Source organism: Homo sapiens, chromosome 3 (genome assembly GCF_000001405.40).
Source record: "Homo sapiens chromosome 3, GRCh38.p14 Primary Assembly".
Lineage (NCBI taxonomy): Eukaryota > Metazoa > Chordata > Mammalia > Primates > Hominidae > Homo > Homo sapiens.
Window position 1 is genome coordinate 59,272,590 of NC_000003.12, and position 16,521 is coordinate 59,289,110.

At 41.2% G+C, this 16,521-nt stretch overlaps 1 long non-coding RNA gene across 2 annotated transcripts in view; it reads left to right on the forward strand.

Moving 5' to 3' along the window:
- The window catches only part of CFAP20DC-DT (CFAP20DC divergent transcript), a 724,471-nt gene that overhangs the window by 185,750 nt on the left and 522,200 nt on the right, over window positions 1-16,521 (forward strand). Inside the window, exon 5 of one of the 2 annotated variants that reach the window (XR_007095934.1) lies at window positions 4,739-4,809. The exons of the other annotated variant lie outside the window; for it this stretch is intronic. This is a non-coding gene — a long non-coding RNA (CFAP20DC divergent transcript). Of the gene's footprint in view, window positions 1-4,738; window positions 4,810-16,521 lie in introns of those variants that run through there. 2 annotated transcript variants of the gene reach the window in all.

The following is a 16,521-nucleotide window of genomic DNA, read 5'->3' on the forward strand; positions in this document are numbered from 1 at the left end:
ACCCTAAAAATTGTTTTCGCACACTACACCTTGAGAACCACTAAAACACATCAAGCAAAGAGTAAGATAAGATTCTGTGTAAAGATGCCTAGGTCCTTAAAGATAGTTTGCAAATTTCATGTAGTAAATAAGGATGGATGGAGAATTTTAAAGGGTTCTGCTTGACTACATGGTTTATTTCATTATGTTTTAGTATTAAGCCTGAATAATTGGAAAACATGTTAATAGATTTGTTTGTTGTTTTGGGGAGATTAAGATTTTGTGGTGAGGTCAGGTTCCACAGTCAGCAGGGAAGTTAACTGCATGTGCAATGATGAAATTAACCTGTGTCTTCTAAAGTTCACTTATTCACAATTCCTATGTATTGAGTATGTGCTATGTGCCACATATTATTCTAAACACTGGGAGTAAGGCAGTTAACAAACTAGACAGATTCCTGCCCTCATGAAGCTTATATTCCAGTGGGAGGAGACATAACAAACAAGCTATTGTATAATATATTAGATGGAGAAAAATACTATAAAGAAAAATAAACCAGGGTAAGGTGGGTAGGGAATGCCAGAGTGGAGGACACTATTTTCTTTGAGTGGTCAGAGTGATCTCACTGACAAGGTGACATTTGAACACAGACCTAAAGGAAGGGGGAGACTAGCCACGCTGACATCAGGTAAAAGGCATTCCAGTGAGAGGAAACAGCGTGATTGACATGGATCTTCTGCTGAGAGGAGCGGTGTTGGTTGTTGGCCACATCCTAGCTGCTTCCCTCTGGGTCCACTGTCACATTCATGTGGAAGCCACATTTCCACTGAGCCACTCTAACCCATTGTGGGAGCACAGTGAGATCCTAATTCAGGCCACTCTTGTGAGGCAGGGATAGACACCCATCTGGCCTTCTGGAAACTTCCTTAGGACTGCACTGCAGTCTGAACCCTTCTTGCACAATCTGTCTTCCATATCCTCTTCCTCACAGATGTCAGGTTGGCATTGCTGTCAAAGGCTCCTCCTACCTTCTCCCCCTCCCTCCCTTTTATCGTTCACCTGCACTTCCCCTCCATACATTTCACGCACATCTAATTCCATCTTAGCATTTGCTTCTTGGAGAGCCCAAACAAACACAAGCAGCAAAGGCAATGGCCCGAGGCAGGAGCACGCTTGATGTCATTGAGGAACGGCAAGATCTGTGTGGCAGGAGCAGGCTTAGAAAGGGGCAGGGTGGCAGAACATGAGGACAGGCAGAGACAGAGGTCAAATCTGGAGGGCCGGGCAAGCATCATAAGGACCTGGAGTTTTTCTCTGAGTAACACGAGGTCACCTTTGGAAGGGGATGACCAGGATTGGGTGATATGATCCAACATTTTAAAAGGATAGTTGTCCCTGCTGCATGGAGGGAAGGTTATAGGTGAAAAGGGCAGGGAGATCAGAAGCAGAGATGCCACTGAAGAATCCAGACCAAAGATGATAGTGTTTGAAGAAAGTGGTAGTAGGGGAGGGAGTGAGCAGTGAGTGAATTCTAAAAATATTTGAAGATAGAGCCAACAGGATTTGCGGATAGTTAGGGCATGTGGTGTGAGAGAAAGAAGAGTCAAAGGCTTTTGGCCTGTGCAAATAGAATTGGCATTCATGGAGACAGGAAAGACTAGGTATTGTGAAATATCATGATACAAACCCTAGTTTAAGTAGATTTCTTCTGCTCGTATGCTGAAGTGGTGCTTGGTTTATATCTCTGCTTCATCAGAAGTCAGTCTTTTTACAGTGACTGCTGCTGCTATTCTAGATACCTATCATTGAGTGCTCACTCACTGCCTACTGCCCTAGTGTTTATGTTATCATAGTTATTAATTATATAAATGTGTTATGTATTTGTATTTATATATATAAAAAATATTAAAAAAAATCTCTTCCCTCACTTCATTTAATCTTAACCTCATGAAATTAGCCTCAGGTATTGTGTTGTTTTCTGGCTGGAGGTCACATAGAGTTGCTGCCAGACTCAGAACTGAATGGAACAGAATCCGGGAGGGTGAGGCTCTGATACCATGCTCCTCCTTGTGCTAAGGGCTTCCTGGTGCCTGTGCGGCCCTTCTGTAGCTGCTCTGTTTACCACTGTCTTCCTGACTATGTCTGGAAGCATCTTCAGGACAGGATGGTATCATAATCACCTTTATATGTTCCACTTAAACTACTAAGCTTCCTTGCATATAGTAAGTTCCATGTTTCCTCATGGTATTTTGTGAATTCTGTGTACCTGACTCTGCCCCCACCTACCTCATAACTGACCAATGAAACGTTATGAGAATTCCTAAATATCATCATATCCACTGGCCTGACAACATCCAGCGGCTTCCAAACTTGTCCCTTACCTGTCTGACACTGCATGGCCCCACTCTAAACTTGTGTCTGATTTTTAGCAGGTGGTCCTCGGACTTTATTTCCCTGGTATCTCTGGGCTCCTCCAGCACCCAGGAACTTCAGAGAGAAGACCCTGTATGAAATCTAGGACCCAACACCTCATTTCAGATGCTAATGATGATCCAAGTGTCCCTGCTAGAGAGAGATGTGGATGCATTTAATTTTTTTGTTGTTGTTGTTGAGACGGAGTCTTGCTCTGTCACCCAGCCTGGAGTGCAGTGGCGCGATCTCGGCTCACTGCAAGCTCCACCTCCCGGGTTCACGCCATTCTCCTGCCTCAGCCTCCCAAGTAGCTGGGACTACAGTGCATTTAATTCTTTGGTCATGCCACCTCTTTTCCCTGATATCTGAAGGGCTCCCTTTCTGTCAACTGAGTTAGTCATAACTTCAGAACACTTATGTTGTTTGACACGTGTGAGTTATGTAGGCAGGTTGGGTTTCCATTGCAAAAGAAAATTCAGAATGGCAAAAAATGGACTAATTGCTAAATTACTTTTTTTATCCATTCGCAATTACTTATATAAACTTGAATGTTAACTCCTAATTATTTGGCAACAACAAAATGCATTTGTAAAGATTCACCTTCAAAATGGCCAGTAGCTTTCTGACACTCTCCAGCTGATAATAACTCTGGACTGTGGATATCTCATCAGAATTAATTGCAGCAGACTGGAGTCCTGCAAATGCTAAAATGTCTTTAGTTTTATGGACCAATAGATGCTATGGTTCAGCAGTTCTGCTTTACTATTAGTAAGTACCTTGAATCTTTTGGGAGGCAGCTCAACAAACCATTGTAACCTTTATAACCTTTATAAATTAAATGAGAATTAGTGACTATGCGTGTTGATGGTGAGTATCAAGAACAAGGACATGGAATAAAAATAACATCCTTTTTATATCTACCAAATAATTTAACATGTAAAAGCTTGCTTTGCCTGAGAGGTAAAAATAAAGCAGTCAGCCAAATATAAAATATTCATCATATGCATGGGAAATATCTGACATGTTTAGGGAGTAGACTGATAGTCAAAGAAGAAGAAAACCCTATAATAAGGTCAGAACATAATTTCAAGAGTTTAGTGGATAGGATATGGTGCCAGAAAGACATATGTCTCCAAATCAAGGTGAAGATCTATAGTATAACAGTCATATCTAAACCTATAAAGGACTAAGAGACTGGGATTTCCGCACATCACTGGTTCTTCCTGTATGTCGTATGTTCACATGAGAAGTGGAACATTTTTATTATTGAGGGCATATAATAAAATAGATATATAGAATTTCCCATGGGTAGATTGTCAAAATTTCACGTGATCTGGCTCCCAAAACCTGGAGAAGACAGAAGGTGGTGCATGGGGACGTGGGGGATGATGATAAGCAGAGAGGAGGAAGAAACTTTAGAGACTTGATATAAATTAACAGAGCATAGCAAGAAATAAGAATGGGCTTTCAAAAATTTTAAATTTGATTGAGTTGGTAAAAATTATTCATTATCATTGTCAAGAATGGCCCCACACAAAACTGTTGACTATATATAGTACAGAACATTGTGCTTAGGATCAGAGAGATAAAAAGACATTAATATTAATATTTTAATCCATTTAACATCATTTATTATGTGCCCTCCATGTATGAGATATTGTGTTAAGATGCTAGGGCAAGGCTGGCACATCCTGGTACCAATGCCAGCAATTGTTCCCATGACAGACATTACCAATCAATTATAGCTCTCTTCCTACTGCTTCTGGTCATGGCCATAGTGGATTTTTCAGCACAGGTGCAGATCCTACTATTGGCAGAGACCAGATGGAGGCTATTGCAGTAAAGTCAGTTAACACAGGGTGAGAGTTGGAATGAAGCTTGAAAAGTGGGCATAGGGAAGTGAATAAATTCAAAAGATAGTAAATAGGTAAAAGACAATATTTTAAATGATTGCACGGTGGCTGAGGATGGAAGTTGCTGGGACAAAGTCAGGGATCACATCAAGGTTTCTAGCCTGGGTAATTGGATGGATGGTAATATACTTCACTGAGGTTTGCGAGAAAGAAGAGGGCTTGTGGAGACAGGGATGAGCTCATTTTAAAGTACTTTGAGTTTTAGGTTTCTGTGGGCCATCCAAACAGAGATATCTAGCAAGAAATTGAATCTCTGTGTCTGTAATTTAGATGCACAAGCAAAGCTAATGAGATGACAGTAGAGGGTGGTTGTTATAACACATAGACACTGGAGGTCCATTATTCGGTTTGAATCCTGGTTCCACCAGGCATCAGCTGTATGACCTTGGTCGAGTTTCTTAATATGTCCTAATCTCCTGTTTCCTCATCTTTAGCTTGGAGATAACAGGAGTACCTATCTCACAGGATCATCTCGAAGATTCAATAAATGCCTGGCACACACATAGTAAGCACTGTGTGAATGTGAGCTTTCATTATCATTGTCATTATATCTAAAAAGTGCTAAGCAAATATTTGTAGAATGAATGAATCAATGAGATTACTCAGAGAAAGTATACGGAATGAGAAGACAAGAAGAATAAGAATAAAAACCTGAGTTTATTATTCCTTAGAATGTTAGTATTCTAGTTCTATAAGAATTCAGTTGCTTTGAAATTTACTTCAAGGAACAAAGATAAATTCAGATCCAAATATTATTTCTCTAAAAATGTTTTATTTATTTTTATTTTTTTGTAGAGACAGAGTCTTGCTATATTGCCCAGGGTGGTCTCAAACTCCGGGCCTCAAGTAATCCTCCCGCCTCTGCTTCCCAAAGCTCTGAGATTACAGGCACGAAACAATGCACCCAGCCCCAAACAATAAATTCTTATCAGGAGCACAGAAAGGAGATTCATTGTGCCAGGAAAAAAGATTGTTTGAAGACCAGATAGGGTAGTTAATCTTGAACCAATTAGGTCCTTCTAGAAGGAACAGTTCTGTCGAAAAAGCAAGTGTGGGCTAGCCAAGCACTCACACTTGGTTAAAAGGCAAGATGAGGAAGCAAGGGTCAAGGTTTTGTTGCTAAAACAGTTGGCAGAGTTGCAGCAAGCAGCATGGTGGCCAAAGCAGTCATTTACATGACACTGGAAATAACAAATTTGGTGTGCTCCCACAACAAACATGCTCCTGACAAGATGTGTGAGAGTCACAGCCTGGTACATCAGACCATATTTTATTAGCTACTAGTCCAACTGGAGAAACACTGTTTTTGAAAGTCTGCACTAATAAATGCCACTCACCTCCCGCAAAGTTCTCAAGCCCAAACCCCCAAAGTCATCCTTGATTCCTCTCTTTACTTTGGCCAGTTCTTCAGGAGCCCTGTCAACTCACAAAAGGATATCTTACATCCACGATCCTTTCTTTGTCTCCACTCTTATCCTCCTGGTACTAGGCAGCATCTTCTCTTGCCTGGGTAGCCTGCAGTAGCCAACAGTCTCCCTGTTTCTCCCTGTAATCCAGTCTCCAAATCAAGCCATGTAACTACCCAGCATAGAGCACAACCCATGTTCTTACCTGCAGGACTTTGCGTGATCACCTCTTTCATTTTGCCCTTCCTCCCATCTTCTATGCTTCAGCTTCACTGGCCTTCTCGCTTTTCTCGGACACACCACACTCTTTCTTGTCTGAGGGCCTTTACGCCAGCTGTTCCTTCTGTGACGCCTCTAGATTTTCAGAAGATGGAGTCCTCTAGTCATCAAGGTTCTTATCTGCAGTGTGACCCCCTCAGGTAGCCTGCTGTGGACATTGTGTCTGTCCAGCCCCTCTCCACTGGTCACCTTCTAAGATGTCCTATTCAATGGCCCTCGTTGCACTTCTCTAATATTTTTGCCATGATTTAATTATTACTTGTTTTTTGTTGTCTCCCCGACTGGAACATCAGTTCTGTAATAGCAGGGGCTGGGGTGGACCAATTTATTCATTAGGCACAGTAGGCACAGTGCCTAGAATCCATGATACTTTCTGGGGTCCACAAAAATGTTTTAATTTTCATTTACTTAAAAATTAGAAGAAAAAATAAATATAAGAATCACAAATACAGAATAATGAATTCAGCCTGGAGTAAATTTGTCTTCATATGTGGTCATAAAATAATTTTTTTTGTTTTTTTTTTTTTTTGAGATGGAGTCTCATTCTGTTGCCCAGGCTGGAATGCAGTGGCATGATCTCGGCTCACTGCAACCTCCACCTCCCAGGTTCAAGCGATTCTCCTGCCTCAGCCTCCTGAGTAGCTGGGACTACAGGCATGCACCACCATGCCCAGCTAATTTTTGTATTTTCAGTAGAGACAGGGTTTCCCCATGTTGGCCAGGATGGTTTCCATCTCTTGACCTTGTGATCCACCCGCCTCGGCCTCCGAAAGTACTGGGATTACAGGCATGAGCTACCACGCCTGGCCATAAAATAATATTTAAATTTTTTTTTATGGAGGTAGAGACTGATAGAAATCATAATATAGCCATAGAAGTGAGTCTGTCAACTTTGTTCGCCACAGTGTCTCCAGCACCTGGAACTATACCTGATGTCTAGAAAGCCCTCCAAAAACATTTGTTATCCAGATAAATGTCAGTGTCTTGAGAATTTGGGGATCTGGCCTCATGGAACTCAGGTTGTGTGTGGTGTGTGTGTGCATGTGTGTGTGTGTGTGTGTTTGTGTGTGATGGACATCTTCAGTTTGCCACTCTAGACCCACTCTTTTCCCTTCTCTACTTGCTTCCGGGCTGAAGATGCTGATCTATATGTAGATCAATGGCTTTAGGTTGGGTTCAGCCAAGGGGAGATGTGAGGATAGAAGGATAATGAGGTTCCAGTGTTTATTCGAGGGTTTTCCTCCCCACTAAGTCAAAATGAACTTCATCCCCCCATTACTCTAATGAATAACGATAATATTACCAATAATAATACAATTGATATTTATTGAGAATTGATATTTGTTGAGACTAAATCTAGTGTTGATATTTTTATGTAGTGAAATGGTATGATAGCATAATGCAACAGCCTTTACTTTATCCTTAAACTTCACGGCACAAAAATGTTTGCAGACTTCATCAATTTCCTTAAAGATCTCCCTTGATCTTTTGATATTCATATTTTTCATCTCTGATATTTTTATTCTATTACCATGCTTATAGGTTTTCTTTTTTATTGTTAACAGGTCTAGCTTTGTCAGATCCTCATTTGTCAATGGTTTTGTATGTAATTGTGCAACTTTCCTACATCGCTGTTATTAACCTAATAAAACCTGAATCTTTTGCAGTATATGTGATTTTTACAAGCAACATGTTTACTCTGTGGGTTTCCTTGAACTTAGACTAACTACAATGTCATAATGTGAGTCTTTGGCGTTAAGTGGCCCTTGTTTCTGCAAGAACAACTAGCAACCTCTTTTCTGAGCTTCTGATATAAGAGAGTCCACAAAGCATTTAAAGAACACTTTACCTCTGGCAGGAAAATATTTTTTGTGATAAAAATAGACATATGATAAAGCTTAAATTCTTTCAATAAGTAAACACTATGTGGTCCCTGGTTTCTAGGGCATAAAGGGCATGTTTCTGCTTGTCAGCTGACCTTGGTTCTTACCCTTTTATGTTTTTACTTCCATGTTTTCTCTAGAAAATCAAAATTTCAAAATATATAAAATTCTAAAGCTAAGATTTTGAAGTAATTTTAAAGGTAGGCAATGGATAATTAAAACAGTATACATAAATGTCCTTTTTGAAGCATCTCAAATTAGTGACTAAGATAAATTTGGTTTTAATATATAACATCATTAGGCCTAATGGCGAAGTTCATTATAATAATCTATATATAAATTTCCTGGTAATATTACAAGTATTTGGAAGTACATCTCATAAATTATTAGTGAAATGTGAGATAACTAGCTTTATTAGTCCACTAACATATTTATTTTCATCAAGGATATTTATCATATTTCCAAGTAGCTTGCAGCTATATAGATAAGTTTTATTGATTTCTTCATATTTTATTACCTATCTGAATGTCATTATATTCTAAAATATTCTTAAATTCATTTGCTGTTTTTTTTTCTTTTTTTTTTTTGAGATGGAGTCTTGCTCTGTCGCCCAGGCTGGAGTGCAGTGGTGCAATTTTGGCTCACTGCAACCTCTGCCTCCTGGGTTCAAGTGATTCTCCCACCTCGGTCTTTTGAGTAGCCAGTACTACAGGTATGTGCCACCACGCTTGGCTAATTTTTGTATTTTTAGTAGAGATGGGGTTTCACCATGTTGGCCAGGCTGGTCTCGAACTCCTGACCTCAAGTGATCCGCCCACCTTGGCCTCCCAAAGTGTTGGGATTACAGGCATGAGCCACCACGCCTGGCCGATTTGCTTTTGTAATCCATATAAACTATATGTCATGGCTAATTATTGGCACATAATCAGAGTAAAATGTGCATAATTGTTTGGGGGCATCAATGTTGAACTGTGATTATGATTGTTTTTATGATGCTCTTACATGGGTGTTTCATCTACACCTCTGGTCGGAGAAGGCCCAGTTTGACTCTGTATCTTGCCTGCTTTTCCTCCTTGAAGGAGTCCCTGCAGTATAACGGCACTCTCCTCTTTGCAGGTGCTCAGAGTAAACATCTCTAAGTCATCTTCTATTTCATCCACTACTCTCATCCCTCCCTTCCTCCTTCTTCTCCCCCATTCCTCTGTCCAAGAAGTCACCAGGCTCTGTTGCTTCTTTCCAGAGGGGCAGAAGGGAAGACAATTTCTGACAAGAAGATATGGAGAGGCATGGCACGTTTGAGACTGGTGCTCACTGTGGCCAGAATACCAAGTCGTGGGGGACAGCGGTGGTGGGATGTGAGCAGGTTGAGGAAGACCATGCAGTAGCTTCAAGGTCTTGCTTAGGAACTTGGATTTTTCCCTTTACTCAGGGAATGGGAGTCACTGAAAAAAAAAAGACAGAAAAGTGCAAGACAGGGGATTAGCATAATGTGTGCAATGAGAGGAAAGTGAGGGACTTTCAGGTGCCGATGAAAGAGGGATTGAAGGGGAGATAGGAACACAGGCTGGTCAGGGAAGGGAGGAAATTGAAAGGCAGAGAGAGGGTAGGCCATACCCACAGAGGAGGAAGTGGGGCCAAAGAGCAGTTTGGAAGGAATGAGGAGGCAAGACAAGTGGAGGAGAGCAGGTGGTCAGAGGGACCTTTCAGAGCTGAGTATTTGAGAAGCGTATGACCCTGGGAGTCAATTACTGAAGGCCTAGGGTGTATACCATTGAAACAGTTCCAGAGGAACTGGAAAGCGAGGGCTTTGGTGGGGTCATCCCTGGGATGTTGATATTACATTACTGCGGATGTCATTACTGGGTACTGGCAGCATCCAGAGTGGAGAGGAAACCCTCAACATATGGAGGGCAAAATGGATGTCAGTGGATGCTAGGTGTGGGGCAAGACAAAAGAGCTTATTGGCTGGGGTCACTGGCTGAGTTCAAAACCTGGCTCCACCAACTTTCTGATTGTGGGAGAAGGTAGGTCACCCCTCTGTACCCCTGTTTCCTCATCAGTAGAACAGGGGTCATATTAACTGTGTCACAAGGTTGTTATAAAGATCACTGAGATAAAGCATGTAAAGCACTCAGAATAGTGCCTAGTCCATAGCAAGTGCCCAGTCAATATTCACCATCATAACTCAGAGGAGATATAAGCATTGTTTGTGGCCTGGGAAGGTGGCAGGAGAATATTGGATCTCCTTCCTGCTGAGAAGCAGAAAAAACAAATGCCTGAGAGAAAAACATGTCCTCATTTAAAGCAAATGTGTTAGGTCCTCTTCCCCCTGCATCTGTATGCAGAATAAGCAACATTGAGAATCTAAGGTAATTTCTTGGCAATAGACTGAGCTTCCAAAGTGCTCAGAGAATTTTGACAGATGTCTAGAGGGGTTGACCCATAGCCTGGACTATGGAAGACAGTGAGGAGAGGCAGAGAGTTGGGATGAAGACATATAGGACAGAATGGGCTACTCAGCCTTGGAATTCCAAATGAAACTCTGGAGGGGGTGGAGGGTGGGCCATGTTTGCACGATCCCGTGTTATGGTGTGGACAGTGGAAACGGTTATGTTCAGTGTGCCTGGACTATTGGAGCCTCAGAGTGAAGGTCGATTAAAGTACACTTTAGTGAGCGTTCTGAGCAACCAGAAGATGCCATAAGGGACCAGCTCATTTAAGGAGGTATGATAGATTCAGATGTAAAAACCTGTGTACTCTCTGTTTTTGCAAATAGTCCTAAAGCACTTGATTCTGCTTGTCTTGAACCTCATTTCATTTTATTTTGGATTATTGAATTTAGTTCCTAGCTCACGTTTTGGATCTAACCACTTTGTATTCCTGGTTGTGAGTCTTACCTCTTTAGGGAATGGTTCTGCTGCCTCTCCTTATGACACAGCAGTCTAAGACTACTGGGGGTAACCCTCTGCCTTCCATTGGGTTTCCTGGAAACACAATTAAAGATGAGAAGTTTGGCGCTGAAGGTTTATTGGGGAGCACTCTTGGAGGTGAGAAAGGCAACACTGAGCAGAGGGAGAAGCTGATGTGCAGGGAGATTGCACCTGTGGCGTCAGCCAACCCTATGGGGGCCCTGGAGTTGGGATGGCCCTTTAGAGTTGTTCCAAATGAGGCTAAGGAGTCAGACCTTTGTATCTCGGCATTAGCCAGTCATTAACTGTGGGCTGCTCCCTGGGAGTGGGTGCAAACTTGGGCAAGGAATATCCAGGGGTGGAGGCTGTGGGGAGCCTTCACTAGCTGACATTCCCAACAGATGAGGATGAGTGTGTTGGTCCTGGAGAGCAGCCCATGACAGAGCACCACAGTGTCTACTCCCCTCCCCTCAAGGGGCTTACCTTAGCACTCTCCAGCTTGCCTCTGGTTCCTTTTGAGGGCAGTAGTGTTGGGATGAGATGAGAGATGAATAGAGAGAGGCTACAGAGAATGCAGGAGAAGGCCGAAGTCTTGTTTTACATCCTGCACCATTTTGCTCACAGAGAACTGAGGCTGGTGTAACAATATGGACATCACCTTGAGGGTTCAGGAAAGAAAGGGAAGGCAGTTGTGCAGTCTATACCACTCACTCTACCCTTAACTGCACACCCACAGGTCGTCTTTAATATTTACGGGGTTGTTGTCTTATTTGGCAACACTGCTGTGCAATTACAAAGAAATTGATCTACATAGCACATGGAGGCTAACAGCCAGGAGAATGAGCTTTTGGTAATTATCGGATTGTTGAGGGGCTAATTATGACAAAACTGCTCCCTCCTCTAGAGAAGCTACTCTTACAGAAGAAATAGCAGTGAAATCTTCCATTAGGAGTATTTTTTGAAGCATAAGAGCTTGCTTAAATATGAAATTAAAGGCAATACAGGAAAATTTAAAAGTCTGAGAGGTGAAAACAATGACAGCTCTGTTCTAATATATGGAGTGTTGGGATGCCTGATAGAAAAGTGCTGTTTGGGCTGTACAACCAGGGCTGTAAAATTAATGTCCACTGACCTGTTTGAAACATGATCTAGTGAGTGATCATGTCTTCAGCAGGTTTTGTGACTCTTTCTGGGGTAATCTTAATACCAAAATGTGCTTCTTTCATCATGGGGACCTATAGAGCTCCTTTTCGGGGCAATTATTTAAATGATTTTCCCAATATCCCAGAGAATTGTTGATCTCCTGACCACCAGGAGGCAACTTTTGTTGCTTCCAAAGCCAAAAGCAAACGACACTTAAAAAACTCCTCTTGTTCATTCACTGGGAAAATTTCTAAATGATAGCAATTCTCTTATTCCCTAGAATAGAATAAAGGAATGTAGAAAATGTGTTAGAAAGAAACTTCAGATATATCCCTCTTCATTAAAGTGTGAATTTCACTCTAAATGTGCTCATTTCCTACGTTGTAAATTACAGTTAGAAAAAATAAATAGAACCTGGCCATTCCCAAGTTTATGAAATCATGTAGTCTTTCCTGATGAAAAATTCCCCACTCAACAACTAATTTGCTGCTAATGATAATAAGGTCATCCAAGAGCACAGCTGTTGGGTTTCCATGGTACACACATGACTGATTAAAATTACTTAGAAAACCATGGGAGTGGGCTGTTATACTGGTTGAAGGATTGTGCATGGAATGAAGCCCTCGGCATTGATGGGAGCTGGTTAGGCAGCCTGCCTTTAATTAGCAAGGGAAACCTCTCCTGTTTTAAATAATTTATATCTGCATCCAAAGTAGATAATAGAAGGAGTGTAATAATGAGAAAGCATTACTGCTCACCAGGAGGCCTTTTCCAAACACAATTTACCAGCACAAGAAGTACCTGGGTTTGAACACTGTTCACCCCCCCGACAAAGCTCAGCCTAAACAATTGACTCTTCTGATGAGATTATTTCCCATGCAACAGAAACTTGTTAATCTAGTAAACTAGGCATAAACAGAATGTGGTGTTTAGTAAACTAGGCATAAACAGAATGTGGTGTTTTTATATCTTTGGTGAGCAAAAAGCATCTGAATTCTTTTCTTCTTTATTCTGTACTTTTAGGAAAAAGAAATGCACCCTTTACTTAAATTCTACACCATCCCTATTTTGTGCTTTGGTTTAAATAACTGGCTAAGCCATTGAAATAAATGCCATTTTATTGAATGGGGAAAATGTAGATTGATTCCATTTATATAAATAATAAATTCTCTGAACACATAAAATATTTCTTGAGCTGCATTAGTGCACATTTGCATTTCTCTTTAATATGAAACAGCTGTTGTATTTTTCATTTTATGATGTTTTAAAGAGAACGAAAGAATTGAGAACAAACATGAATCACACATGCCCACTACGTTTCATTAAAGACAATATTATATTAATTCCCATTGCTCCTGAGTCTGGTGGAGAACAGAAACTTGCTTCATTTTTAAAACCCTGAAAGTTAACATAGAAACTTTAGTAAGCATTTAAATTATCAACTTGAAATGAGAAAGGGAGTCGGCTCTGATATGCATCAGCTTAACTGCACCACTCTGGATTTAGGAGCCGGCAAAGTATAGAATTTACTTACATAAATCAAATCATTCTGGTGAAAGGTAGCCATGTAAATCCCCATTTCTCACCTGGCATTCTCATTTGGGTAGAAGAATTGATTCTCTTAGCAATGGAATAAGCTGCCCTCCTTGTCCTTTTGCTAACATAGTTTCTTTATAGTTATGCAAACTAAATTTCAGTCATCTTCCTTATCGTGGCCTTGGGAAATAAAAATCTGGCTGGTTAAATATGGCTGATGGTTTTCATTATAGTTTGATAGCCTACATTCTATATGTATAACAATAACTGAAACTAGATTTTTTTTCTGACATGCCTGAGCTGAAAATCAAATGAGTTTTCAGTCACTGTGGACTCATGACTTCATGTTTTTGATAGGATTCTGAGAGCACACTCTAAGAAGACCCTTTTGTCCTCTTTTCTGCCTCCCCTCTCTCTTGATTCTATGCTTTGGCACTATGGCCTAGTGGAATCAAACCATTGTATTTTAGAGTCAGGTCTATGTAGTTCAGAGCTTTGACTCTCCCTCTAAACTAGCTTGTGGATTTTGGCAAGCTAAATGAACTCTGAGCTCCAGGTTCTTGATTTTGTAAATGAGAATACTAATTGTTGTCTCCCAAGATTGTTATAAGGGTTAAAAGAGACAATCTGAGTAACAGTCCCTGCCATTGGGGCCCAGGACCCAGTAGGATTTGCCAGATGGTCACCTCTTTCTTTCTCCCTTTCCCTTCTCCTCACTTCCTAGCTCAAGGAGACAGTGGCTTGGCAGTTGTCAAGGACTGTCTCAGCTACAGGCTAAGAGTGGCTCCTACGGTTTGTAAAGTGTCATGAGAAAGCTTCCCACAGAGGACATGAGTCATTACCACTGTGGACATGACAGCATCCCTGTGTGTGTTGAAATGTCAACCCCAGGCTCAGCACGACATATTATGTTGTGAAGGTAAATCACAAATGGCAGCCTGGAAGCAGGGGGATTCCAAAGTTCTCCAGAAATACTTAAGAGTAAGGCACTGCCCCAGACTCAGACTAGAGTCTCTCAGACCCCTTTAGAGCCCCCAGGAGTGGGATCTGGAAAGCCCTGTGACTGGAAACTGAATAAGGCAGCAGAAATCTACCAGGCTAGGATGTGGCCATAGTCAAAACCAGAATAGTCAGAGTTCACAGAATCAAGAATATATGCCAGGATTCAATGGCTGAAAATATATTTTTCATTCTTATAAACAACTGTACAGTGCAGGGAGAACTTCCACATTTATCACTGTGAATTTCACAACTCCTATGCAGTGAGGATGATTTGCCTAATTTTATCAGTATGGAAAGATAAGCTCATTGAGATGAAACCTCTGTATAACTCCACCTCTTTCTGTAGTGGGAGGTAGTATGTAGAAATTACACATGTCAACTCTAGAGTCAGACACCTTGGCTCAAATCCAAGCCCTGGCACTTCCTTGCTGAGTGTCCTTGGACACATTAGTTATGTAACTTGCTTGAAATTCAATCTCCTCAGGTGAAAAATGGGAATCACTTTTTAGGGTTGCTCTAAAGAGTCAATGAGGTAATGGGCTATTTGTTCAAGCCAAACCTAGGAACCTTTCTTTTCTCTCAAACTCTTCATTCTTTCTCCTTCCCATGCCCCAACCCTGCTCCTCTTCTAGCCTTTCTCCCCTCAACAAAGGGTAACCTATCCACCCATTCATTGTTCAAGTCAGTAACTAGATGTCATCCTTAATTCCACTTTCTACCCCATTGTCCTCCCTACCCTCCTTTCCAATCCAGAAGTCTGTCAGCTCTGTCTCCAAAATACTTCATGAATCTGTCTGCTGGTCTCCATTCATACATTCAAATCTGATAGCCTCTGACTGTGCAACTACAGCAGCCTTTGCTTTTACTCATGACCCTTATAATCTATTCTCCACATTACAGCCAAAGCAACCTTTTGGAAATATAAATCATACCTTGAGACTCTAGTGCTTAAAAATCTTGCAGCGGTTTCCTGCTGCATCTAGACTAGAATCCAAACTCCCTTCATGGCTGCTGCTCACCAGTCAGAGCCCATCTCCTACCATTTCTCCTCTTGTTTCCCACAACCCCATCAAACTTGTCATTGCAGAGCTTTTTGAATGTGCTGCCAGCTGTGGTTGGAATGTTCTTCCTCTCATCTTTTGGAATTTAGAGTCTGAAAGCAAATATACGACCTAAAGATTCCTTTCCTGAGCTCCCTATCTAAAGTAGACCCCTATCCTAGTAATTGTAAAATCACCAAAAAAAGAGATTTTTGTTTATTTAATTAAAATTAAATAAAATGAAACTCAACTTTCTCTATCTTCTCATACAACCTTCTTTGCTCCTGTATGAAACATGTCATTTTCTACATTGATTGGTTGTGTCAGAATGACTGTTTTCAAATGATGCTATGTAGAGCCCAAGGGGTCCCTGGGTGTAATTCAGGGCCCGAAAGTTCTGGGGCTTGAGATGCTAAATTAGCTGGAACCCAGGACTTTGACCTTGACTTCAACTGGAAAAGCTGCATTTTTGTCTGTTTTACTTGGTGAGGTTCTATATGAGATTACTTTTGTTACAAGTTTGAAAACCACTGGTCCTTTTACTCCTGTTAAATTTTCTGCTCAGACCTCTTGATGATAGGATTTATCTCTGCTTCATTTTCTCATCTCCACCCTGCCTGGTCCAGCAGTACAAACTCAAACAGTTCTGGTTGGTTGAATGAAGGAGTCAAGACCTAGGGAATAGGGCCTAGGGCCTAATGCAGCTCCACTCCACAGCCCTATGCACAATTATTGAGCCTCTTTGCAATCAAATTTTTGGCCAGTCAGGGAGTAGAGGTTTTTCCCAACATCCTCATCACTGTCAGTGTTAGCATACATGTATACAGTTTATGCCATTTTCTGCCCTGTGAATTATTTTCTCTGTAACAATTATTTGGGTTTTGATTTATGGTTTGCTTTCCCTTTTCTGATCTGTTTACACCTCCTAATAACTTTCCATTCATCCAGTTTTCCCTCCAGGGAGTTTAACCAGATTGGCCAATTAGCACTTCCCTTTTAACAAACGGATAAATATTTCA